Raw genomic sequence first — 26,131 nt, forward strand, 5'->3', positions numbered from 1 at the left:
CTATTTCAACTCCTGCTTCCTTGAGTCAAACCAGAGTAGATATGGCTGAATGGGACAGGAAGCTGAACAGGGGTGTAGAGGTGAGCTCAGTAGAAGGGATGAGAAGCTTGGCAAGAAGGCAAGTAGTGAGTGTGGAAGGAAGAAGAGAAGGCATCGAAACTGATGTGATTGAATAGAAATCAGAAGTGGATTTTGACCCCAGAACTGCTTTCCTTAAGCCCCTCTCTTGAGCCTCCTTCTGCTCCCTGGCTCCCAAACCTCTGTTGGAGCCTGGACTCTGGAGTTGCGTTAAGCTTAGGTTCAATACCAGTCCTACCATTTCTGAGCTGGGCGACTTTGGAGAAATTACACGTCTTCTTTAAATTTTCTCATCTGAAAAAAAAATTATCACCTGTAAAATTAATCTAATAAAACCTGTCTCATTGAGTTGGTTTAAGGATTAAATGAGATCAACACATTTTAGCTCTTATTATTATCAAGGCCTTCCCCAGGCCATATACAAAACCTTACTCCCTATTTAATAATAATTATCATAGAGATCACTTGTTGAAGAATTCCTCTGTGCCAGGCAAGGACCTGACAAACAGAGTTTCCAGGTCAAAAAAGATTCCCTGGTAGCTTCTCAATACAGGGTTTTCTCCCTCTAATAACTTTTTATTTTATTATTTATTTGAGACTGAGTTTTGCTCTTGTCACTCCGACTGGAGTGCAGTGGTGCCATCTTGGCTCACTGCACCCTCCACCTTCCAGGTTCAAGTGATTTTCCTGCCTCCGCCTCCCAAGTAGCTGGAATTACAGGTGCCCACCACCCCACCCAGCTAATTTTTGTATTTTTAGTTGAGATGGAGTTTCACCATGTTGGCCATGCTGGCCTTGAACTCCTGACCTCAGGTGATCTGCCTGCCTTGGCCTCCTGAAGTACTGGGATTACAGGCATGAGCCACCATGCCTGGCCTCCCTCTAATAACTTAATGAACATTATATTATGGAATGTCTACCATGCACTAGAGAGTGGACTGGCTTACTTTCATTCATTCATTCATTCATTCAATGTTGTTGTTTAGGTACCTATTGTTAATTAAGTACCTATTATGGTACCAGGCACTTACCAGGGGCTGATAGTACCATCATACACTTAGCCCTGAACCTTAAAGGACTTACAGTCTAGCCACAGTGTAAGTGCTATGTAAAGAGGGTATGTATTTGAGGTGTTCTTTCCTTGTGGCTTCCTTGGACTAGGCAACCCCACCTTTGGCTTCACACCCCGTGACTGACCATGGTTCTGATTTTTTTTTTGGCTTGGAACCCCATCTTCAGGACACACTTTTGAGTTCTCGCTCCCCATGTGACCAAGAGGATTAAGAGACGAGGTAACTTTTGCATTCCCATTCTCTCCCTGCCTGGAGTCCCCCTCCAGAGGAAAGGAATTTAGCAGATGTACAAAAGGTAGATGGATAGCTGGTTTGGATTTTAAACAATCACACTTTTAATACTTCTCTGTCTTAATTCACTCATAGTCCCTTAATTGCCAAATCCAGCTGATTCTTTGACCCTTTGCAGATCTTTTTTTTTTTTTTTTTGAGATGGAATCTTGCTCTGTCAACCAGGCTGGAGTGCAGTGGTGTGATCTCGGCTCACTGCAACCTCTGCCTCCCGGGTTCAAGCGATTCTCCTGCCTCAGCCTCCCGAGTAGCTGGGCCTACAAGCACCTACCATCACACCCAGCTAATTTTTGTATTTTTAGTAGAGATAGGGTTTCACCATGTTGGCCAGGCTGGTCTTGAACTCCTGACCTCATGATCTGCCTGCCTTGGCCTCCCAAAGGCATGAGTCACTGTGCCTGGCTGAACTTTTGCAGATCTTTTGTCTCTTTCTCTCTTTGTGGTATTACATACAACTTTCTTTGCATCTTTCACCTCTCTAGCTCAGAGAGGTTAAGTAAATGGAATGGGGACTCGAACTCAGGCTAACTTCAAAGCACATGCTGCAGACAATATTCCATGCTGCTTCCCAAAGTAGACCAATAGTCTAGACCTATGCTGTCTAATATGCAGTCATTCGCTACATGCTATGGTTTGAATGTCCCTCCAAAACTCAAGTTGAAATTTAATTGCTATTTTAACAACGTTGAGAAGTGGAACACTTAAGAGGTGATGAGGTCACGAGGGCTCTGCCCTCATAAATGGATTAATGCATGGGAATGGGTTAGTTATGGAGGGAGTGGACTCCAGATAAAAGGATACGTTTGGCCCCCCTCCCTCTCTCACATGCACACTTCCTCACCATGTGATATCTTCTGCCACGTTATGGTGTGGCAAGAAGGCCCTCACCAGATGTCGAGCAAATGCTGGTGCCATGCTCTTGGGCTTTCCAGCCTCCAGAACCACAACCCAAATACATTTCCTTTGTTTATAAATTACCCAGTCTTTGGTATTTTGTTATAGCAGCAGAAAACTAAGATACTACCTGTAGCTATTTCAATGTAAACAAAATGAAAAATTCAATTTCTTGGTTGCACTAACCATCTTTCAAATGCTCAACAGCTACACGTGGCTAGTGGCTACTGTATTGAACAGCACAGATATAAAGCATTTCTACCACTGCAGAAAGCTCTGTTGGATAGTGTTGGTTAGATAAAGGTTCTGTCCTCTGACCTCTTTACCCTCTTTTCCTTTATTTATTCTCAGGAAGTGGACAGACATTGTTTAGTCTGCCTAATCCTTTACTCCTACTTTTCTGAGAAGTGTTACTCTATCCTCTACCCTCCAGCATACCTTCATTCATAGAGTTACAGTAGATACAACCATGTTTATGCATGACCCTGTCCCCCTTTCCATAATGATACTTGATTCAGTGGTGGACATTTGGCCAAAGCTAGCTCTAACAAGAGCTCTTCCTCCCAGAAATTTGAAATTGAGCCTAAGAATCTAGTCACCTGGATGATTTTTTGAATGGAGGCAACTTGGGACTAATTGGTTACCATGTTTTATATGACATGGATTGGGAAAACTGGTCTTCAGAATGATAAAGCAATGACAAAATGGTTACACATATTGGGGAAAGTTGGATCTAGGTGTTCAAAGGATGTCAGGACTCTGTCTCCCTCTCTGTCTGAATTCTGCCTTCCTCTGTGATGTCTTCATTCTTAGAAAGGCTCTTTCCATGAAGCAAGAATAATGGCTGCCCTCAGTTCCTCATAGCTCAAGATCTCCAGAAGAAAAATCCTGTCTTTCTTATATATTTCAAATCTTTAGAAGGGCTTTTCTTAGCTTAGTTTGGGTGATGTGCCCATCTCTTCAAAAACTGTGATCTGTTTTAGCAAGGTTTCCTAGAAAACAAAGCCGGAAGAAGGGATTAAGTGCTAAAGCTTTATATGAGGGGCACAGCCATGGAGTAGTGAGAATTAAGGATAAGAGAAAGTGGGAAAACATGAGAAGCAAGGGAAGGAAATGTTTGCTGGCTACTTCACAATGAGCTGTAGCTAGTCTCTTGACAGGCGCACCCACTTGGCCATGGAGAATGTCTCTCTAGACAGGTTGTATGGAGAAATTTTATCTTGAAACAGCTCATTAGAGGAAGGAAGGGAAGAGTGGATTGTTATAGCCAGCTCCTTCCTGTCTCCCATTGATCAGTTTGCTCTGTGGGTAGCTAAATCCTCTGTAGTAGGTTGCTTCACTGGCTCCTTCAGCAGCTGCTCAGGAAGCCAAATCCCACGCTCTGTGAGGTGGTGTTTCATCAGGGTCTGGAAGTTGCAGGAGAAGCCATAGACTCCATGTTTGTAACTTGATGGCCTCAAGCAACAGAACTGTGAGACCTCGCTTAGATTTGGTCAGCTATGTCTGTTGTTGAGGTGGACCAAGTGGCTAATTGTCTGGGAGCCAAATTACCCTGAGAGGCTATGAGGAGGTACTGGGCCAAGATGTGGGAGATCGCTGATTGGTCAGACTGGGTCATGTTCCTACTCCTGTGGCTAATGGGGTACAGAAGATGTGCTATGGTAGGATGCATCCTGTCCTCTTTCCCTTCATGTTAGTTCAGAGTCTCAGGAAATCAAACGCCAAGACAGAATAAAATGCAATAAATTTATTATGAAAAACATAATTTATTAATATATATATTATATATATTAATATATATAATTATTAATATATAATATAATTATATTATATATATATTATATAATATAATATATATTAATATATAATAAATAAAAAAATTTATTATGAGAGGAAATGGAAGGGGAAGACTGAGAGAGCCATCGCACAGTGACGCAGGCCTGACCCTGAGTGAAGGACAGAGGGAAGGTGTTCAAGGTGGAAGTGTCTCAGACTGCAATGAAGTTCTAAGGAAAGTTTGGCAAGGCCATTGAGGAGTCCTTGAGTCAAAGTCACCCATCGGAAGAGTATCACTTATCCCAGGAACAGTCCTGTCCTAAAATCCCCGTTGGGCTCAGTTATTGGCTATGAGCAGCGTATGGGAAGTAAGACCTCGGAGTAAAGGGCAATGGATTTCAAAGCTCAGGATGGATTTCAGAACTCAGCAGCTGGACTGCTGGTAAATTACAATTTCCTCAGTCAGAGATCTGAGAAGCACATTCTCATGGCCACACACCCTCCCAGCCTAGCCAATACATAGATGAAGAAGGATAAATTCTACAACCTTTAAAGAAAAAAAAAAAAAGTAGGCTGGACGCAGTGGCTTACGCCTATAATCTCAGCACTACGGGAGGCTGAGGCAGGGGGGCAGATCACCTGAGGTCAGGAGTTCAAGACCAGCTTGGCCAACATGGTGAAACCCCGTCTTTACTAAAAATACAAAAAATTAGCTGGGTGTGGTGGTGGGCACCTGTAATCCCAGCTACTTGGGAGGCTAAGGCAGGAGAATAGCTCGAACCTGGGAGGCAGAGGTTGCAGTGAGCTGAGATCACACCACTACACTCCAGCCTGGGTGACAAGAGCGAAACTCTGTCTCAAAAGAAAAAAAGTAGAGTGCCATTACCAGTTGAAAGGGCAAGGGGTATTCAGCAGGCAAGACAACAAATGTCCACCCCACAGCTTACAATGTGCCACTTGTAATTCGAACTCTATATATCCAAACTTGAACTCATGACTTCTCCATACCCTGACTCTTCATCTGAAGACTACCATCCTCCCAGGTGTGACACATGGGAGTCATATTAAACACCTTAATTTGGCCGGGCACAGTGGCTCACGCCTGTAATCCCAGCACTTTGGGAGGCTGAGGTGGGTGGATCATGAGGTCAGGAGATCGAGACCTTCCTGGCTAACACGGTGAAACCCACCGTTTCTACTAAAAAAATACAAAAAAATTAGCCGAGCATGGTCGCTGGTGCCTGTAGTCCCACATACTCGGGAGGCTGCGGCAGGAGAATGGCGTGAACCCGGGAGGCGGAGTTTGCAGTGAGCTGAGATTGCGCCACTGCACTCCAGCCTGGGTGACAGAATGAGACTCCGTCTCAAAAACAAAAACAAAAAAAACCCTTAATTTTCTTGTTCCCTAACCCCTCAATCGCCAGTCAATGGTCAAGTCCTTACAATCTTTCCTTGGCAATATCACCTCAGCATTTGTATCCTCTTTCCTCCATTCTCATTGCTGATGATGTGTTCAGGCCCTCGCCCTCATTATATCTTGCCTAAACCATTGTGGAAGTCTCCACATGGTCATTCTGCCACTCTACTCCATCTTACTCTCTTTTCCAGATTGCTTTTAATCATAGTTTTGATCATGTCACTATCTTCTGTAAAACCTTCTACCATTGGGAATGTAAAATGGTATGATGCTATGGAAAACAGTATGGTGGCTCCTCAAAAAAAAAAAAAAATTAAACATAAGAATTGCCATATAATCCAGCAATTTCACTTCTGGGTATATACCCCCAATAATTGAAAGCAGGGACTCCAACAGATATTTGTATACTAATGTCCACAGAAGCATCATTCACAGTGGCCAAAAGGTGAAAGTAGAATGGTGGTTACCAGAGGCTGGGGAAAAGAGAATAGGGCGTAAGCGTTTAACGTATACAGAATTTCAGTATGGGATAATGACAAATTCTGCTGATGGATGCACAACGTGAACAGGCTTAATGTCACTGAAATGTATACTTAAAGATGGTTAAATTTAGGCCAGGGGCGGTGGCTCACGTCTGTAATCCCAGCACTTTGGGAGGCCAAGGCAGGTGGATCACCTGAGGTCAGGAGTTCCAGACCAGCCTGATCAACATAATGAAACCCCGTCTCTACTAAAAACACAAAAATTAGCCGGGCCTGGTGGCACGCGCCTGTAATCCCAGCTACTCGGTAGGCTGAGAAAGGAGAATCGCTTGAACCCGAGAGGCGGAGGTCGCAGTGAACCGAGATTGCACCATTGCACTGCAGCCCCGGCAACAAGAGCAAAACTCCATCTCCTAAAAAAAAAAAAAAAAAAAAATGGTTAAACCTGTTTAAAAGCAAAACAAAAAACTTCTACCACTCACTTCCCGTATCAGAAAATAAAGCCCAAGAGCCTTAATTTAACCATAATAATGTATCTTTCCATGATTCTTCTTCCATTCCCTCTTACTCTGTGTTTCCTCAACTGATCCCTCGCTTCTTCTATTTGCTTTAGTGGCTGCCTACATGTCTTCCCTAATTTTACTCATTTTTCAAGACCCAGTTCAAATGTCACATCCTTGCAAATCTTTCCTGAACTCCTCCCACTATTTCATACTAAGTGGAAGTAAGCTTTCCCTTTTTGAACTCCAGCAGCACATGAACTATATCTTTTAGTGCCGCTTTTCTATTTTTTGAGACAGAGTCTCGCTCTGTCACCTAGGCTAGAGTGCAATGGTGCGATCTCGGCTCATTGCAACCTCTGCCTCCCAGGTTCAAGTGATTCTCCTGCCTCAGCCTCCTGAGTAGCTGGGATTACAGGCGTGTGCCACCATGCCCGGCTAATTTTTGTATTTTCAGTAGAGACGGGGTTTTACCATGTTGATCAGGCTGGTCTCGAACTCCTGACCTCGTGATCTGCCCGCCTCAGCCTCCCAAAGTGCTGGAATTACAGGTGTGAGCCACCACGCCTGGCCAGCGCTGCTTTTCTTTTAGGCCAAAGGTACACAATGAGATAGAGAGGTGTGGCTTAAGGAAGTCCAGCTGGCTGTCTAGACAGGTTCTGTTATACAGTGCTATAACCTTAAGGAATTTACCATGATACAAGAACTGATGTTTAACCTTGCAAACTCAGAAACCTAATTTTAATAGTAAGCAGAAAGTTGAACCATTTCCTGGGGGTAGGGGGTGTCTTGTATTTGCCAAGCTCACAGAAACTTTTATATAAAGAGGAATCTAACTGATTAGTTACAATGAAAAATACAATGATCAAAAGAACTAGAATACTCTAGGTGGCAGATCACTTAATTCTGTCCCTATCGCCAAGACACTTGCTGGGTGAACATAGAGGAAAGCATGTTGATCTTAAGAAGTATTTCTTAGCTGAGGCAGTCTGAGATATTCCCATCCACTACAGAGATGACACGGGCAAGGAAATCCTAATGCTCAGTGTGGCTTAATTGAGATGAGGCTTAGAGGGGCAATGGTAGTGCTAGCCTTTGTGACTGCCTTGTTTTGGGCTGCCATGGCTGAGCAAGCCCTTTTGTTCACAGAATCTCTCTCCAAACAGGGTACAGAATGGCTGACGAGATTGATTAGGTTCCATTTATTAAATTACAATATCTACCTTCTTCAGGTTCCTCCCATATGCCCTTTATCAGAGTTTGTTTTGTTTTGTTTGGTCATGTTTGTAAAAAAGGTCTTGGCTTACCCCCATGGATAGCTAATTTCATGGTTGTATTAGTCTGCTTAGCTAGCATGTTATGCTGCAGTAACAACGAAAACAATCTCAGTGGCTTACAACAAAGGTTTATTTATTGTTCACACAACATTACAGGTTATGTGTGTCAGCTGTCGCTCTGCACATCTTCATTCTGGGACCAAAGCTGAAGAGGGAGCTCTATTTAGGACATGCTGCTCTTGTGTCAGAGGAAAGATAATATGGCAAAATTGTAAGATAGCTCATAAATTTCTGCTCAGAAGTGGTTCATGCCATTTCTTTCTTTCTTTTTTTGAGACAGAGTCTCACTCTGTCGCCCAGGCTGGAGTGCAGTGGCGTGATATTTGCTCACTGCAACCTCCAACTCCCTGGTTAAAGCAATTCTCCTGCCTCAGCCTCCCGAGTAGCTGGGATTGCAGGTGCCTGCCACCACACCTGGCTAATTTTTTTATTTTTAGTAGAGACAGGGCTTCACCATCTTGGCCAGGCTGGTCTTGAACTCCTGACCTCGTCATCCACCCACCTCGGCCTCCCAAAGTGCTGGGATTACAGGTGTGAGCCACCGTGCCCGGCCGGTTCATGCCATTTCTACTCATATTTCATTGGTCAAAACAAGGCCAAGCTTGACGACATTAGGGTGAGAAGTCTTTCACCCTAATCTCCTAGGGACAGGCCAGATAGCAACGGCTTTAGAAAGGGAAGGGCGGAGGCTATTGATAATAAAGACTATAGCAAGGACTAATATTAGGCTTATATGTATCAATTGACTGTTATCAGTTATAACATTGACTATTAAAATACTGAAATACTCTAGTACTACCTGGTAAATAGCTGCTGTCCCAAACCTCCTGACCACTCCCTTCCCCTGGGATCCCTTGGGACCTCCTATTCACAAACCAGCAACTGAAGGGTTAACACCTAGCACAGACGTATACCTCCAGGATCCTAGCTGCATTTCTAATTCTGCTTCATCTATGCTTGAGCACTACTTGTTGTTAAATATACTTAATATCACTCTTAGCTAATTTCCTCTATGTAGATTTTTATTTATTTCTGAGGGCAACCCAACTTCCAGGCTCTTGGAAGGAAATAGACTGCAGCCCCTAAGTGTGATCAATACTTAATTATAACAATAATCACTAATAATAACTTGTGCTGCTTCATTGTAACTAAATGTACACTTTTACATTTTTTGGCAAGCATAGTATATGCAATAAGTACTCAATAAACATCTGTAGAGAGACTTATTTAGCTTTTTTCCATTAGCTACATCTGTCTCTACAATCTCAACATACTATTCTCTTGAATCTGTTTTTAATTTTATGCCATTTCTCATGTCTGAAAATGTCATTATAAGTAACTTTTTTTTTTTCTGAGACAGGGCCTCGCACTGTCGCCCATGCTAGAGTGCAGCGAGACACTCGTAGCTCTTACCAGTAACTTCTTTATAACACTTTTGCAATTTACGAAGCACTCTCACATTATTTCATTCACTCTCCCCAACATTACCAAAAGTTAGGAATTAGATCTTTTTACAGATGAAGGAATTGAGACTCCCTGAAGTCAAGTGTCTTATAGTTAGGTTTTGTTCATTCATTCATCAAATAGAGTGCCTGATGTGAGATTTATTGAAACTGGATTTGAAAACAATTTTCCTGAATTCAAGTCGAGGGTTTACTCCACTATTCTCAATTACTTTATCACCAGGGTTATAAACCCAAAGGAAGTGAGTAACAACAGTGTGATTTTATTGAGGACCCATGCAACACTAGTCTCAGAAAGGCTCCAGTGTCATTTGTAAAATTCAAGGTTACCATCAGCAGAGGCAGTCATTCCTCTCTGCGCTTGTTACCTAATGCACTAACTCTCACTGTAGGTAATTCCATTCAAGACACATTTGATGACTATACCTACAGGTTTTGAAGTTATTCGGATGGGGTTTTGACACTTACTAGCTGTGGGGACTTAGATCAAGTTACTTAACCTTTTTGAGCTTCAGTTTTATCATTTGTAAAATGGATACAATCCTGATGCCTTTGGACCAAGTGGTCACGGAAATGAAAGAGATAAGTATGAAAAAATCCATGCTCATAGTAGCTGTGGTTTCCAACTGCGTGATAAAACTTTAAAATCTGCATTCAAATAAGAACAACTATGTCGACGTAAGGTTACAAGCTAACTATTCTTGGTAAGTACTGTTCTTTATTCTAGAGGACATCACTTTACAGTTTGGTGCTAAATGCTCTTTTATGAATTTAAGGTGCCAGTAGCTGTCTACTTGAACGGCATGCTTAATCTGGAACGCCATGTCGACCTTCATCCCCCAGTTCTTTCTCCCCAAATTAAAAACACAAATACACACACACGCCCCTACTTAGTTCCTAAAACTCAAGGGCACGCGCACACACCTACTTATTTCCTAAAATTCAAGCTCGCACCAAGGAGATCCACAAGGATAGGCAGGGTGGTGGAGGTCACTGGGCAGCGCCTCCGGATCCCCCGAAAGGGGGCGGGGTCAAAACTCAGATCTCGAGCTCCCGAAAGGGGGCGGGGTTAAAACTCTCAGATCTCATTCCGCCTCCCTCTGTCGTCGCCCCTTCCCAATTCTCGCGAGACCTCAAGGAGCACAGCTTCTGCGCACCGCACGATACTGGGAGTCCAGGCGCCAAGGGAGGGGGAAGGGAAAAGGGGAAACGGTGCAAACGGCGTGGCCGCCATCTTGCTTGTGCCCCCGCTTCGCGCGCGCTCCGTTCTCCGTGACGCACACTTCCCCCTCCCCTCCGCCGCGCCTGGGCCTCTGCATTGCCCGACTCCGTAGGAGCGCGGGGGCGGCTCCTGCTCTTCCTGGACTCCTGAGCAGAGGTGTGTGAGTGTGCGGGAGTTTCTGTGCGAGGGTGATAGGGAAGCGGCGGCGGGGGGAGGGGCAGCGCTTCCCGCCTTCGCCAGAGACCTCACTTCCTCGCGCGGCCGCTGCTGTAGCTCGGTCCGTCCTGCCCGCCGCCATGTTGTGCTCTTGCCTGGCCCGCTGCTGTCGCCGCCGCCGCGCTCGTGGGGTCCGTGTGCCTCGTCGGCCCGGCCCGCGGGCTTTCTCCCATTGGCGGAAGGCGACGGCGGGGGGGCTCGCTCGTGATTGGTCGGTGGCGGGGAGGCCGCGGACCTGGCACCTTATTGGACGCGCCAGCTCCGGTCTAGGGGGTGATGAAGGAATCTGAGGCTGCGGGGATGCGCGCGTCTTGGGCTAGGGCGGCTGGGGCAATGACCCCCTGCGGCGCAGGCGTGGGGTTGCGGCGAGAGGGCGAGCCTAGAGGCTTTAAGGGGGAAGAGAGGGTGATGGCCTGGCAGGTACTTTGGGGGTAGCTTAGGCCATGGCCTGGGAATGGGGGACACTCACTTTCAGAGGTGCTTTTCCTGGTACATGCATGGCCCAAGATTGGGGTGTGCAGGCCCTCAGGGTTCCAGGCTTGGAAACACCGAAACCCAAGTGACAGGCTGAGAGTCTTCGAGATCCAGGGTTGCTAATGTGACCCAGTTTGGAAGTGGCCCTGAAGTCCACGGTGTGAGTGTATGGTGTAGGAAGAAAGGCATCAGGGCTAGGGGCATAGCTGAACGGTAGAATCGGATCAGGGATTTTGCTGGAGAGTGCAAGCATTCAAACACTGAGGTTTTGGTGGAGCCCTGGAGTCCAGAGTCAACGGACCTGGGATGTGATGTGAGGAGCAAGTAAACCGAGAGAGGAATGCTATTGAGAAGTGTGCTCTGTCCGAGCCTAGGAAGCACAGCATTAAGTAGTATCAGATTTAAAGTGACAAAATCTGATATAGGAAGCATTTTAGGGGACATTTTCGGACTTGGGAAGTGTATTAATAGAACAGTTATACATTATTGAGTCTCAGGACCATACAAGTAGTTTTGAGATGTTGTATATGAAATTTGCTGCTCTAGGAAGGATACAGGTCATGGCTGAGTTTCCAAAGCCACATTAGCAAATATTAGGTAGTTGGTAGTTATTTGTTGAGTAAATATTGTTAGGTTCCCCTTTAAGGGAAAGGGAGCTAGCCAGAAATTTTCGGTCTTGGTTTATTTCCTTGTATATGTGCCTAAAAAGTATACCCATTCCCATGTGTACTTTGAATTTTTTGTTTGTTTTTTCAAATAAGCAGCTCCAAACCAAAAAAAAGCCCATGCATAGCTTCTTAAGGAACAGGACTTGTCAACACTTTCTGGTTCATATTCAAAAAGTTTTTATTCCAATCCAGAGTCGTTCCAGTCAACTTGTTGGGAATATGTTCTTTTCCACTGAATCTGAATCGTAGTTACTTGTATTGCTTTACATTTGCTCGTCCCAGTGTGTGAGGGCCATGGAAACACATTTATGTTAAACATCTGTGTTTTCCTAATTTGTTTTTCCTTGTTTTTGTTAGGTAGTCCTTTTTAGCTTTAGATGGTACTCTTCTGTTTTCATACCAATTTCAAGAAACTCCTAGGGTTTTCAAATTTAGTTTTATGTGAATGCAACTACATTTTCTGGAGAAGGGAATTGATAAGTAGCAGAGGAAGAGAATTGCTATTTTGGGGCATATTTTAACTCCAATAGGTAGGCATTATCGTCCCCATATTGCAGATGAGGAAACTGAGGATCAGAGAGTTTAAGTAGCTTGTCTGGTGTCACTCAGTAAGTGGTTGAGCTAGAATTCAAACCCTGGTTGCCTGATGCCAAAGCCTGTAATTTTATCTGCTACATCAGCTATCAACATAAACCTGACTAATGAAACTTCCAGATAATTTTGTATTTCCAAGTGGATCATCTACTTTGATTTCTGGGTGTTTAGAGTGTATAAAATGGAAGACTATAATTCTTAAGAATTTCTTGTGCTGCTTAAGGATTCAGACCACAGAATTGTAACCATAGAGAATATGGGTTCTTCAGCTAGGTATTCAAATCATATCCCTTGGCTTCTATTGTGAAAGGGAAGATTTACCAAGTAAATTGCTGCATTTTTTCCTGAATCCAGGTAGATAATGGGGAAAAATATGTACAGAAACTTGAAGAATCTGCATTCCTTAAAACCAAGCTTCAGAATATTGCAGATAGTCTTTCTGTATGTGGAGGTAATTTATGCCAAATGGCGAGGAACTACCAAGTGCCTAGTGTAAAGAGCTCACTGGAGAGGTTTTTCAAGCATCACCAGTTCCTTAGGGTGTCCCCAAATACCAGGACCTATTCAAAGGCCTAGTGCTTTCTTCAGACTGTGGGATATTGATTCTAGGATATGCTTATCCTGAACAATGTGTAAAATTAAGACTGGATAGGACAAAATATTTGCAGTTCCAATTTTGCATGGAAACCTTTAAATCAGGGTTTGAGAGGAGACCAGTGAGTTGGAAATCTTAATTGCTTTATGTCTTGATGTGCTTAGGTGAAGCCCTCCCTCATTTTTGTTTACAATAACGTTTCACTGTGGAAGATAGAGGCAAAGCTACAAGTGAAAATAGGGTTTGCCATGTATTTTGTACATTGGTCATTTCAGCCTCATTTGGCTCAGTCATCAAGTTAACCAAATATGAAGAATGCTGTAGATCTATAACTTAGTTTCGTTTTTAGTAAGACTAGACAAGGTGATAAAAATGAGTGTATATGTACACCTTTTTTTTTTCAGCAGGCATTTCTGGAGCAACCTGCCCTTCAACATTGGTGACCACCTTCATTCCATGTTAGCCCCTTATACCCATGGCCACCTTGTTAAGATCTGGAATTGACCACTCTAGAAATCTTGAACTCTCAGGAAATCTCAGTAGATCTGAGTTTATGTTGAAAACTTGTGAACCTCAGCTTTTTCTTCAGGCAGAAATCATACTAAGATTTATACTTTATAGGCTGTGTTCATGGCATCTTATTTAATTCTTATGACAAATCTGTTATCTCATTTATACTTACACATTTTTTTCTTTGGTCAGAACTACTAGAGACTGGGCGCAGTGGCTCACGCCTCTAATCCCAGCGTTTTGGGAGGCTGAGGCAGGTGGTATTTGAAGTCAGGAGTTTGAGACCAGCCTCGCACACATGATGAAACAAAATTACAAAAATTAGCCTGGCATGGTGGTGGGCGCCTGTAATCCCAGCTACTCGGAAGACTGAGGCAGGAGAATTGCTGGAACCCGGGAGGTAGAGGTTGCAGTGAGCTGAGATTGTGTCACTGCCCTCCAGTCTGGGCAACACAGCGAGACTCAGTCTCCCAAAAAATAAATAAAAATCCCAAAACTGTACTAGAGAAGATTTTACAAGGCATTTTTATCCCCTTTTATTTTCAGAGAAATGAAGGCAAAGCGAAATGAGGATTCATACCACAGAATTGTAAACATATATGGGCTAAACCCATTCTGTGCTATGGAGCTATGCTGGGAGTCTTGTTTTGGGTTTTGTTTTGTTTTGTTTTTTGAGAGTTTTACTCTGTCACTCAGGCTGGAGTTGCAGTGGTGTGATCTTGGCTTACTGCAACCTCTGTCTCCCGGGTTCAAGCGATTCTCCTGCCTCAGCCTCCCGAGTAGCTGGGATTACAGGTGTGCACCACAACACCCAGCTAATTTTTGTATTTTTAGTAGACACGGGCTTCCACCATGTTAGCCAGGCTGGTCTTCAACTCCTGACCTCAGGTGATCCACCCACCTCGGCCTCCCAAAGTGCTGGGATTATAGGCGTGAGCCACCGTGCCCAGCCAGGCTATGCTGGGTGTCTTTTTGAGGTAATTTTGAAATTTATATCTTTTAGTTCAAAAGTACTGAGCCACTAGGATCTGTGAATCAAACACAGGGATAATATAGTTACTACTTTTATTGAGTGCTTGCTTACATTGTACCAGCTGGGATATAAATGTATTATGTATATTTATTCTCATACACTATGAGGTAGATAATATAGCCACCCTCATTTTTACGTGTGAGGAAACTGAAAAGTAATTTGCTTAAGTTCTCACAGCCAGTAAGTAGCAGAGCCCAGATTCAGACACGGATTTGTAATTCTGTTTTTTTTTTTTTTTTGAGATAGAGTCTCGCACTGTTTCCCCAGACTGGAGTGCAATGGCGCGATCTTGGCTCACTGCAACCTCTGCCTCCCAGGTTCAAGCGATTCTCTTGCCTCAGCCTCCTGAGTAGCTGGGATTATAGACGCCCGCCACCATGCCTGGCTAATTTTTTGTATTTTTAGTAGAGACGGGGTTTCACTGTGTTGGCCAGGCTGGTCTCAAACTCCTGACCTCGTGATCCGCCCTCTTCGGCCTCCTGAAGTGGTGGGATTACAGGTGTTAGCCACAGTGCTCAGCCACAGATTTGTAATTCTTAATTCTTATGTAAATGAAGCCCTTACTCTTAAACACTGTGTTGACACCATAGAATGTTATGGGAAAAGAAAAAAAGTCCTGGCTTCTTAGCTCAGGAAGCGAACTTCAGTTCTTTCAGGCGTGTCCTTTGTACTGAGGCTCCAAAAGAGTGAGATGACCTTGACAGGGTCACTTGGCTATGCAAGGGCAGAGCCAAATCTTGCCCAGATCACTGGATTTCCAGATAGGTGCTCATTCCACTGGATAGCATTGCCTCTCCTGTGGACGCATTGACTTGATGGCAGAGATGACTTTAAGTGACAGGTTTACTTCATTCACCGGAATGAGAATGGCAGAGGACATTACTAGGGTCACAAATGACCTTCTTAAGGTCAATCCTGGCCTCAGGCATACAACCAGGAAGAATATTCCTTTGCCAGTAAGTTGTTCTTTTCCATTCTGTTTCTTGTTCTCAGAGGAAACTGGTTGTGAGTTATCTGATGTCTTACAGTCTTTCTTTTCATTTTGTTTATTCAGTTTTTCATGCATGCACTGTCACAGTTTAGGAAGGCTACAAGGTCATTTTAGTGTTTTCCTGCAGAGACTCAAAGCACTCAATATAATGTAAGTAGATTAATTGCAGGAGGAAATGGATTTTTAAAACTTTGGCCAAAAAGTGCCTATGGGAGAGGACAGTATTAGTTGCTGATTGGAGTCAGACCAAGGGAAGAGTTCTGTCTCTGCAGTGCATTTACCCTCTGTGCTGGAGCAGGTTCTTAACTTGTTTCTTCTTCTGTAAAATAACGACAATAATACCTACCTGTAGGGTAATTATGAGAAATGAATATAATAGCGTGTGGTAGATGCCTATCACTTAGTGGACCTTAATAAGTGGGAGAACACATTTTCATTTTGGAACAGCATGAAATCTGTCCTTTCAGCCCGTTACAGCTTCCTTGATGAGGAGGGGTGAGGCCTTTTGTAATTGTCTGCTCTGCAATATACAGTAAGATTTCCAAATGGGAGAGCAACCACTTGACATGAAGTAACCTAATTTAGTTGTGCTGTTGTGGTTTAGGAGCTGATTTTCAGTGGACCAGTGTGAGGTCAGTCTTACTTTTGAATGCACAAAGTAGTAGGATCATTTGTTTCAGGGAAAGATTGTTTCCTGATCTCTTTTGTTCATCCCCAAGTGTTGAGTGGTAATGATTGCGATGCGATGAAAACTTCTTCATATTTGACAAATAGCAATGATGATTAAATTCGGAACAACTGGTGTTTTCATTCTGACCAGAAGGAGAGATTTCCATTATAGTCATTTAAAATTTTTCTAACTGTACAAATTATCAGTTGAAGTAGGACCGTTGGTTTGGTTTGTGTGATTTGTAGTCACTTGAGTAACGTTTTCTTTGAAGTAAGCAGTTAGACAGTATTGTGGAATGGTTCAGGAAAAATCTCTCTGCCTGCAGAAAATTTTGCTAGGTTGCAGGAATTGTTGCACCCTTCCCACACTTCTCCATGTGTTAGCAGTGATGTACCTGATAGCAGTGAGACAGCACCTGTACTCATTTTCAGTATTGGAGTTGTATTTTCCATTTTGTTATTTTCAGATCTCCAGATAGATTACTTCTACATCCAGTACTTCATGAGAGCTTTCTATTGTATAAACTTGTAGTTTAAAGAGTGGAACTAGAGTCTAATCTTTGCATTTGAATGTTTCCAGTAGAATACGTTTAAAATAAAGGTTGAAATATCCATGTCTGGTCAGGCACAGTGGCTCACGCCTGTAATCCCAGCACTTTGGGAGGACGAGGCTGGCAGATCACCTGAAGTCAAGAGTTTGTGACCAGCCTGGCCAATATGGTGAAACTCCGTTTCTACTAAAAATACAAAAATTAGCCAGGCATGGTGGCAGGCACCTGTAGTCCCAGCTACTCAGGAGGCTGAGGCAGGAGAATCGCTCGAACCCAGAGGCGGAGGCTGCAGTGAGCTGAGATCATGCCCCTGCACTCCAGCCTGGGTGACAGAACGGGATTCCCTCTTTGAAAAAAAAAAAAAAATTCACGTTCAAGGTACTATATATAAGGTGTCCTATTTAAATGAATGCCATTCATTCATTTATTTATTTGCTGGAGTCTTGCTCTGTCGCCCAGGCTGGAGTGCAGTGACATGACCTCGGCTCACTGCAACCTCTGCCTTTTGGGTTCAGACGATTCTCCTGCCTCAGCCTCCTGAGTAGCTTGGGACTACAGGTGCGTGCCACCACACCTGGCTAATTTTTGTATATTTTGTAGAGACAGGGTCTCATCTTGTTGGCCAGGCTGGTCACGAACTGCTGACCTCAGGTGATCTGCCTGCCTCAGCCTCCACTGCGCCCAGCCTGAATACCCTTCATTTAAAGCCAATAGTATATCCTTTGCCTCCCGGGTTCAAGTGTTAAAGTCAATTGTATATTCTTAATAAGATTCAATAATTGTCCTATTCTTAAATACATTCATGAGTATGAACCATAAATAGTGATCTTGAGCAGTGTTTCAAAGTGTTTTAATAAGAGGAATGAGATGGGCCGGGCGCCGTGGCTCACACCTGTAATCCCAGCACTTTGGGAGGCTGAGGCGGGCAGATCATGAGGTCAGGAGTTTAAGACCAGCCTGGCCAACATGGTGAAATCCCATCTCTACTAAAGATACAAAAAATTAGCTGGGCGTGGTGGTGGGCCTCTGTAACCCCAGCTACTCGGGAGGCTGAGGCAGGAGAATCGCTTGAATCCGGGAGGCAGAGGTTGCAGTGAGCCGAGATCGCGCCTCTATTGCACTCCAGCCTTGACGACAGGGTGAGACTGTCTCCAAAAAAAAACAAAACAAAACCAAAAAAGGAATGAGATGACTCATAGGAAATGATGTTAGAGTATAGAATATTTTGTATCATGTCATTGGCTTAAATCTGAAGTACTGAAGGTTTTCACAATCCCAAATTACTGTTGCCCTTGGCCTCCAGAGCTGTAAACTGTCCAGTAATCTCTATGAAGTTGAGATTCTTTGCCCAGTGTTAAGAAGATATATCCCTTTGACACTGGCATGATCTGTTCCTTTTAAAAGAGAAGAGAGAAGGGGCTAATAAAGTACACATTATCTGCACAGTTGACATCCTTGTCATTTTAAACTGTTTTAAAAATTATTACTGTACCCTGAAAGTAAGTAGCATAGAATTTGCTCATTATGAAATGACGAAGTTGGGGCCTTTTAAGAAGCCAAGAATGCTTGGTTGGCAATCACTTAGGAGGCAAAGGATTGCTATTTATGGTGGTATTTAATGTCATTTTCAGTAGTACTAAGTTAGAAAGGAAAACGCCATAATGTGTGTAAAACTCTAACCATTTTGGAAGGTTATCAGAATACAGTTGCCTATAGTCTTTTCACTCCACTAAAATTTGTAAGTTGGTTTAGAGTAGCATTTCCCAAGCTCTTCCACTGAACATTAGTTCTGTGTAGTGCTAATCAGTGTCCTTTGGGGATAAAAAGAGGATCCTTGACAAAAAATGGCCAAAGTGAAATGCCTTTCTTTACTGCAGAATTATTATTCAGAGCCTTGGTGCTTATTTGCCTATGACCCTTCAAGAGGGAAGATACATTACGCGGTGTTACTCAGACTTACTTGGTCATGGACCGCTGTTTGTGAGAACACCTAATAAACGTTTCATGCTATGACTGGTGTGTAGTGGAGCCCAGTTGAGCAGTTCTGGTGTAGTCTATGAATAAAAAAATGAATCATTTTGTATAAGATAGCTTGGTAATCGTGGGAAAGGACTTTTCTGAGAACAAGATACATCTTCAAGGTAACGTAGACTCTTAAGGATGAATGTGATTTCAAAGGTCATCTAATCCAATGCCCAATAACAATAATAATAGTAGCAGGTACCATTTTTTGAGTACATGCTTTTTATCAAGCACAGTGTTGTTATTCTACATGCCTTATTAACCACTGGGTCTTAGTGATTTTTGAATCTTCTTTATTTTTTATTTTACTTTAATTAATTTTTTTGAGATGGGGTCTCACTTTCTTGCCCACGCTGGAGTGAGGTGGTGTGATCATAGCTCAATGCAACCTCAAACTTCTGGGTTCAAGTCATCCTCTTGCCTCAGCTTCCTGAGTAGCTGGGACTACAGGGATGTAGTACCATGCCTGCCCAGCTAATTTTTTTATTGTTAGTAGTGAGGAGGTCTTGCTATGTTGTCCAGGCTAGTCCCAAATTCTTCAGTTCAAGTGATCCTCCCACCTTGGCCTCCCAGAGTGTTGGGATTACAGGTGTAAGCTACCGTACCTGGCTTATTTTTTATTTTTTGAGATGGAGTCTCACTCTATGAGGTTCAAGGCTGGTCTTGAATTCAAAAAAATTTGTTTTATTTTTTAATTTTTAATAAACTAATAAATGGACGTTAAGGAGATGACAAATTCTGAATTATTTGCTTTGTTGTCCAGGCTGGTCTTGAACTCAGTGTCTTCACTACTGCATCCAGTCACCAGATAACTTTAGCATCCTGTTTTCCACGTTAGTGGTCTAGAGTGCTGCCATCCTCCCACTGTGTCCCCTTCTCCAGCTTATTCTCCACACTGTACCCAATGGTAAGGAACTAAACAGTCTTAAACATGGGGCTGGGAAAATCAGAATTACACTTTAAACGTGGGACTGATTGTGCCAGTCCAATGTTTAAGACGCATTAGTTCCTTATCATTGTCCTTAGAATAAAGTTTTAGTATATTAGCTTTGTCCAACCCTGTATACCTTTCTTTTTTTTGAGAGAGAGTCTCGCCCTGTCACCCAGGCTGGAGTGCATTGGTGCAATCTTGGCTCACTGCAACCTCTGCCTCCTGGGTACAAGGGATTCTCCTGCCTCCAAGGGATTCTCCTGCCTCAGCCTCCTGAGTAGCTGGGATTACAGGTGCCTGCCACCATGCCTGGCTAATTTTTGTATTTTAGTAGAGATGGGGTTTCACCACGTTGGCCAGGCTGGTCTCAAACTCCTGACTTCAGTTGGCCTCCCAAAGTGCTGGGATTAAAGGCATGAGCCACTGCGCCCGGCCTACCTTTCTAACTCTACTTCTAGCTTCTTGCTTCTGGGCTGCTGCTATACCAAACAGGAATGTAATACTTTCTGTCAGCTTCAGGCCTTTGCACATGCAGTTCACTTTGTCTATCTTGGTTTTTATTCTTAGGATTTTAATTCTCCTAAGAAGCTTTCTCTGACCAGCCTAAAACTTACGTAAGCCCTGGGTTAGGTGCTATGCTTATGTCCTCCCATAGCATTTTGCATTTGCATGTGTTGTAACTCTTAATGTACAGCATCATGATTGCCTATTTTAACTTTCCTGTTTGTTACAGTAGACTTTAATCTCTTTAAGGACAGGAACTGTGTCTTGTTTAGAATCCCCAGAGCTTATTTAGTACAATGGCTATGCTTATAATTTAAGTATTTATTGAACAAATGAAATTTTCCTAAGCCCTAAAACCTTGCAAGATGTTTTAGTGCAGGAAACTGGCCTCGATGGAGTTGAATAACTAGCACGAGGTCACTCACCTAAAAAGTGGTGAGGAGGGATTAAAATCTAAATCTGTTTAGCTGTAAAGATTGGGCTTTTTTTCTTGCTGCTGCACATGACTGCTCTCTCTCATGTTGCCTTTACACATCCCTGTCAAGTGTTCAAACAGCCCGTGCCTAACAACCCCATCCATAGCTTCTGAGGAAAGTTGTGTCATCTTTGGACAGCTCTGAGAGCTGAAGCGAGTCTTTGCAGAATAATTTCCCATCTATTGGTCTTAATTTATGCTTTGGAGAATATAACTTATTTTCAAAAAACAAATAATTCAGAATTTGTCATCTCCTTAAGGTCCATTTATTAGTTTATTTCATTCCTTCATTCACTGATAACCATTTACTGAGCACCAGTGCAATGTTCCTTTATTCTAATGACGTGGTCATTGCTCAGAATGTTTCTGGGCCTTTTTTGGGGATTATCTTCAGAACTTTTTTTTTTTTTTTTTTCGAGAGGGAGTCTCTCTTTGTCACCCAGGCTGGAGTGCAGTGGCGTGATCTTGGCTCACTGTAACCTCCGCCTACCAGGTTTAAGCGATTCTCCTGCCTCAGCCTCCCGAGTAGCTGGGACTACAGGTGTGTGCCACCAAATCTAGCTAATTTTTTGTATTTTTAGTAGTGGTGGGGTTTCACCATGTTAGCCAGGATGATCTGGATCCCCTGACCTCGTGATCTACCTGCCTCGGCCTCCCAAAGTGCTGGGATTACAGGTGTGAACCACCGCACCCGGCCTATCTTCAGAACTTCTATCAGATTATTTTGAAGATGTGTGAACATATTTTTGTTTGTTTGTTAAACCTTGAAGGTGGATTGGATTTGAGAAATAGCTACTAGTTGTTCAAGACCAAGTTGGGTGAGAGATAATGGGTCAGAAATTATAATCTGGCAGTCCTCAATTTTCTTTGATTTGCTTATAATGTTTTTTGAGATGGAGTCTCACTCTGTTGCCCAGGCCGGAGTGCAGTGGCATGATCTCGGCTCACTGCATCCTCCACCTCCCAGGTTCAAGCGATTCTGCTGCCCCAGCCTCCCGAGTAGCTGGGATTACAGGCATGTACCAGCACGCCCAGCTACTTTTTGTATTTTTAGTGGAGACGGGGTTTCCCCATGTTGGCCAGGCTGGTCTTGAACTCCTGACCTCAGGTGATCCACCCACCTCGGCCTCCCAAAGTGTTGGGATTACAGGCATGAGCCACCACGCCTGGCCTATGTTTTGTTTTTTTTAAAACTTGAACCGAAACTTAAAATAGAAAGATTTGACATTAAAACAGTCTGTCTTTTACTTCTTAAAGAATCTGGGCTGGGTGCAGTGGCTCACACATACAATCCCAGCATCTTGGGAGGTTGAGGTGGGAGGATCACTTGAGCCCAGGAGTTTGAAACCAGCCTGGGCAATATGGGGAGACCCTGTCTCTACAAAAAAAAATTAAAAATTAGCTGGGTGTGGTAGCGCATGCCTGTGCTCCTAGTTATTCAGAAGGCTGAGGCAGGAGGATCACTTGAGCCCAGGAGGTCAAGGCTGCAGTGAGCTGTGATCATGCCACTGTACTCCAGCCTGGGCAATTAGCCCTAAAAAAAAAAAAAAGAATATGAAGCTCTTATTGCAGTTAACCACATTTCCTACATGGCCCTCTTCAGTTGGAGCTGTGTAGTGGTCACTCCTTTAGATGAGTCACACACTTGCCAGTTTTCCTCAATCCCTGCTACTCCGTTATTTCACTGACACTGTGGCTAAAATCGGATTTGATTTATATCTTTATGCTTTGGGGATATATGTAGATAAAAATAAAGACACTTGCTGCCTTCAAGAAGCCCTTCTTTGGTAATAGAGGCATGTTAAAAAATAGTTATGTGTACCTGCTGTATAATCAAGTGTATATTTAGATATTAATTGGGCACCTACCACATTCCAGATAATATGTTGAGTGCTTTCACTTATTTAAGCCTCAACACTCCTGTTAGTTGGTGTTATTGCCTCCATTTTACACAGGAGGAAGTGAGCTCAGAAATGGTTAAGTATCTTGGCCAATATGCAGCTAGTAAGCAGGTAGCTATGATTCAGAAATCATTCTCCCAACCAAGAGCAAAATTCTCACTTTACCTTCTTTGAGAGTATTAAAGCTTCAACCGTGTAACCAGAGTTACTGGTTTTGTCTCATAGTGATTTAAGTGTTTTTTTTTTTTTTGGAGACAGCTCTGTCTCCCAGGCTGGAGTGCAGTGGCGCGATCTCTGCTCACTGCAACCTCCACCTCCCAGGTTCAAGCAGTTCCCCTGCTGCAGCCTCTTGGGTAGCTGGGACTACAGGCGCCCGCCACCACGCCCGGCTAATTTTTTGTATTGTTAGTAGAGACGGGGTTTCACCGTGTTAGCCAGGATGGTCTCGATCTCCTGAATTCGTGATCTGCCCCCCTCAGCCTCCCAAAGTGCTGGTATTACAGGCGTGAGCCACAGCGCCCAGCCTGATTTGAGTGTTTTTTAGGGTAAGAAGATGCAGTTGTCTGGTGTAGAGGGCTGCTGAGATCCAGGACCAGGGAAGAATGTTAGCTGAAATCCTAGAGATTCTGTTAGGTTCTCAGTCCACAGTAATGACAGGTAGAAGAGAAAGCTATAGTAAGAGTGAATGGATTCAGCTGCCAAATGGAATTCAAGAATAATTTGGGTTCTCTTCCCACTGTGGCTTGAATTCTAAGGTAAGTGTTGATGAGAAGTAGGACTTGAGGTCTTTTCCTTGCAAACTGCCAAGAAGTAATAAAAACTACGCTGAAGACCTTCATAGAGTGTTAAAGGTCATGATTGGGTTAATCTGGTACATCCGAAGCAGAGTCGGAGGGCCAGCTTTTGGAACAGTGATCAGACATTTGGTGGGATTAGTGGTGAAAAACCTGGGTTTCCAGCATAAAAAGTGGAGAATTTTATGGCTCCTGGTAGTCTTCCCATACTGTCCTTTATGGCTAAGGAGTTGCTTTCTGCAGGCCTGCAGAATATGCTAGAGATAGAAGAGAGGTGTTTCTTCAAAGTGGCTTCAGGGCCTTAAGCAGGTCTTCTCCCTTTCTGAACCTTAACCGTCTATAAATCAAGGAAGTTGAATTGGATGACATTTAATACTTTCCATTTTTTCAATGCTTATTCAGGCATAGTACAATATGCTTTACATATATTACCTTGTTTAATCCTTAAAATGGCTCTCTGGTATACATGGTGATATCTATACATTACAGATAAGGAAACTGAGGCTCAGGGTTAGTACAGTGTCATATAATTAATAAGTAGAGTCAGAACTTGAAACTAACACTGCCTTCCAAGTGCTTAGTTGTTTTGCCATACTGGCACTAATTAGTAATCAGCGAGGTTGTGAACATGTTCTCCCTATTCTTCTGCTCCCCACCCCCACCCTTCACATGAGCTGCTTTTCCTTGTCAGCTGACTGGCCCTCAGGTGTTCTGGGGCTAAGAGAAGCTCCAGTACAGATAAGGCCTGTTGGCCTTCTGCCTTCTCTTCCCAGGATGGGAGTAGCTATTCAGAATCTGTAATCTAAACTTTTGAGAAAAGAATTACAGTACCTATAACACATCGTGTTAACATAACCAAACTCTTTATTTGGATGCCATTGTGAAATTGTCTCACAACCCCTTCAAATTTTAACAGTGTACTCTTGTTAATGATTTACCTAGTTGTTTCATGCTCTTATAAATGTGGTTTGTTACTGGTTAAATGGTCCTAATAATTTAGTAGTAAAATTTGTAACAATTTATAGGGTGATATTTGGTCATACCATTGGCTAGGTCTCTAACTGGCATATCAAATTTAACATTAGTCAGATTTTTAAATTTTAATATTTATTTATTTATTTACTTGAGGTAGAGTCTCACTCTGTCGCCCAGGCTGGAGGGCAGTGGGATGATCACGGCTCATTGCAGCCTTGACCTCCTGGGTCAAGTGATCCTCTGGTCTCAGCTTCCAAAGTAAGTGGGACCACAGGCGTGTGCCACCACACCTAGCTAATTTTTGTATTTTTTATAGAGATGGGGTCTCACTATGTTACCCAGGCTGGTCTCAAATGCCTGAGCTCAAGTGATCCTCCTTCCTTGGCCTCCCAAAATGCTGGGATTACAGGTGTGAGCCAACACGCCTGGCCCAGATTTTTAATTTTTAAATTTGTTGAAGTTGGATAATGGTTTATGCTATCTACACATATATATGGCACCTAAGAATTTCCATGGATGTGCCCTGAGGTGCTCCATGTCTTGGTAAGCAGTGTGGTGCAGCGGAAAGAGTACCACTCTCGGTGGGACCCAAGTTTGAATCCAGATGTATGGCTAGGGACCAGTTTTTGTAACTTCTTTGAACCTCACTCTTTCTCACTGGTAGAAGGGTATTGTAGTGAGAATTAGAGGGGTAAAGTCTGTAATATACCTAGCACAGAACCTGGCACTAGTAGGTGTTCAGAAATCATTTCATTTCATCATGGGAAATGAGTGGAATGTAGAGAAGTTAATATGGCAGAGTGATAGGGCAGACCACCTTGCTCCTATTTCGGGTCCCTGCTGAATCTCTGCACATGTCAAGGATGAGTTCTCATGTATGGTCAAATGAGGAGTTTCTAGAAAAGAGCTCGTCTACCTAGCAAAACAATTGTATTTTTCAGTCCTAGGATATTTAGCTTTGGTGGGAGGAAGCAGATCTAAGGAGATTGTTAAAGGCCTCAGGTAATGAATGGTGAGATGCTTGTATTTGAATGTGTTGCTAAAAAAAAATAATGAAAAGAAAAGAAAAACATGCTAATTGATTTTCACCACATTAGGAGCTGCCTCTTAAAAAACCGAAGCAGTTGGTCCAAAATCCATAAGAAAATCTTTGACTACCACTGGTAGACTTCAGCACCTTGGAATGTTTTCAATAACCACAGTGAGACTAGTAAGAATACTTATAATATCTCTTCTGAGATCAGCTCTGCTGTGCTTATTCTTAAAAATATGGGGCCGGGCGTGGTGGCTCATGCCTGTAATCCCAGCACTTTGGGAGACCGAGGTGGGTAGGTTTTCTGAGGTCAGGAGTTTGAAACCACCCTGGCCCACATGGTGAAACCCTGTCTCTACTAAAACTACAAAAATTAGTCGGATGTGGTGGTGGGCACCTGTAATCCTAGCTACTCGGGAGGCCGAGGCATGAGAATCGCTTGAACCCAGGAGGCAGAGGTTGCTGCGAGCTGAGATCGCACCGTTGTACTCTAGCCTAGGTGACAGAGGGAGACTCTGCCTCAAAAAAAAAAAAGAAAATTTTTTTATATATATATGGTAGAAGGCTGGGGTGCAGTGGCTCACTCCTGTAATCCCAGCACTTCAGGAGGCCGAGGTAGGTGGATCACTTGAGGTCAGGAGTTCAAGACCAGCCTGGCCACC

At 43.4% G+C, this 26,131-nt stretch overlaps 2 protein-coding genes and 1 long non-coding RNA gene across 12 annotated transcripts in view, besides 4 other annotated features; 1 reads left to right on the forward strand and 2 right to left on the reverse strand.

Annotated features, from left to right (window-relative positions):
- Positions 1 to 10,888, reverse strand: part of RIMS3 (regulating synaptic membrane exocytosis 3) — a 71,387-nt gene extending 60,499 nt beyond the window's left edge. The window contains exons 1-2 of one of the 2 annotated variants that reach the window (XM_047435184.1): positions 10,778 to 10,888; positions 317 to 372 (exon numbers count right to left, since the gene is read on the reverse strand). The gene's annotated coding sequence lies outside the window, so the exon portion shown is untranslated. The remainder of the gene's footprint in view (positions 1 to 316; positions 373 to 10,777) is intronic. The other variant, XM_047435189.1, reaches the window with a different exon arrangement.
- On the reverse strand, positions 7,902 to 11,083 carry NFYC-AS1 (NFYC antisense RNA 1). Its single transcript, NR_024567.1, has one exon. It is a non-coding gene; the product is annotated as an NFYC antisense RNA 1 (long non-coding RNA).
- Positions 10,526 to 26,131, forward strand: part of NFYC (nuclear transcription factor Y subunit gamma) — a 79,900-nt gene continuing 64,294 nt past the window's right edge. For 7 of the 9 annotated variants that reach the window (XM_017001365.3, NM_001142588.2, XM_006710661.3 and 4 more), the window contains exon 1: positions 10,526 to 10,689. The gene's annotated coding sequence lies outside the window, so the exon portion shown is untranslated. Of the gene's footprint in view, positions 10,690 to 10,829; positions 11,023 to 14,427; positions 14,568 to 26,131 lie in introns of those variants that run through there. The other 2 variants (NM_001142590.2, XM_047421368.1) reach the window with 2 other exon arrangements.
- Positions 10,934 to 11,033: a silencer, noted in NCBI's record as "silent region_732". NCBI's record gives its function as "represses an Ori minimal core promoter by ATAC-STARR-seq in GM12878 lymphoblastoid cells {active_cell/tissue: GM12878}" and the evidence as "EXISTENCE:reporter gene assay evidence [ECO:0000049][PMID:35858748]".
- Positions 11,274 to 11,443: an enhancer, noted in NCBI's record as "active region_850". NCBI's record gives its function as "activates an Ori minimal core promoter by ATAC-STARR-seq in GM12878 lymphoblastoid cells {active_cell/tissue: GM12878}" and the evidence as "EXISTENCE:reporter gene assay evidence [ECO:0000049][PMID:35858748]".
- Positions 11,464 to 11,513: an enhancer, noted in NCBI's record as "active region_851". NCBI's record gives its function as "activates an Ori minimal core promoter by ATAC-STARR-seq in GM12878 lymphoblastoid cells {active_cell/tissue: GM12878}" and the evidence as "EXISTENCE:reporter gene assay evidence [ECO:0000049][PMID:35858748]".
- Positions 18,048 to 18,097: an enhancer, noted in NCBI's record as "active region_852". NCBI's record gives its function as "activates an Ori minimal core promoter by ATAC-STARR-seq in GM12878 lymphoblastoid cells {active_cell/tissue: GM12878}" and the evidence as "EXISTENCE:reporter gene assay evidence [ECO:0000049][PMID:35858748]".

The sequence above is a fragment of the Homo sapiens genome, chromosome 1, assembly GCF_000001405.40.
Source record: "Homo sapiens chromosome 1, GRCh38.p14 Primary Assembly".
Taxonomy (NCBI): Eukaryota; Metazoa; Chordata; class Mammalia; order Primates; family Hominidae; genus Homo; species Homo sapiens.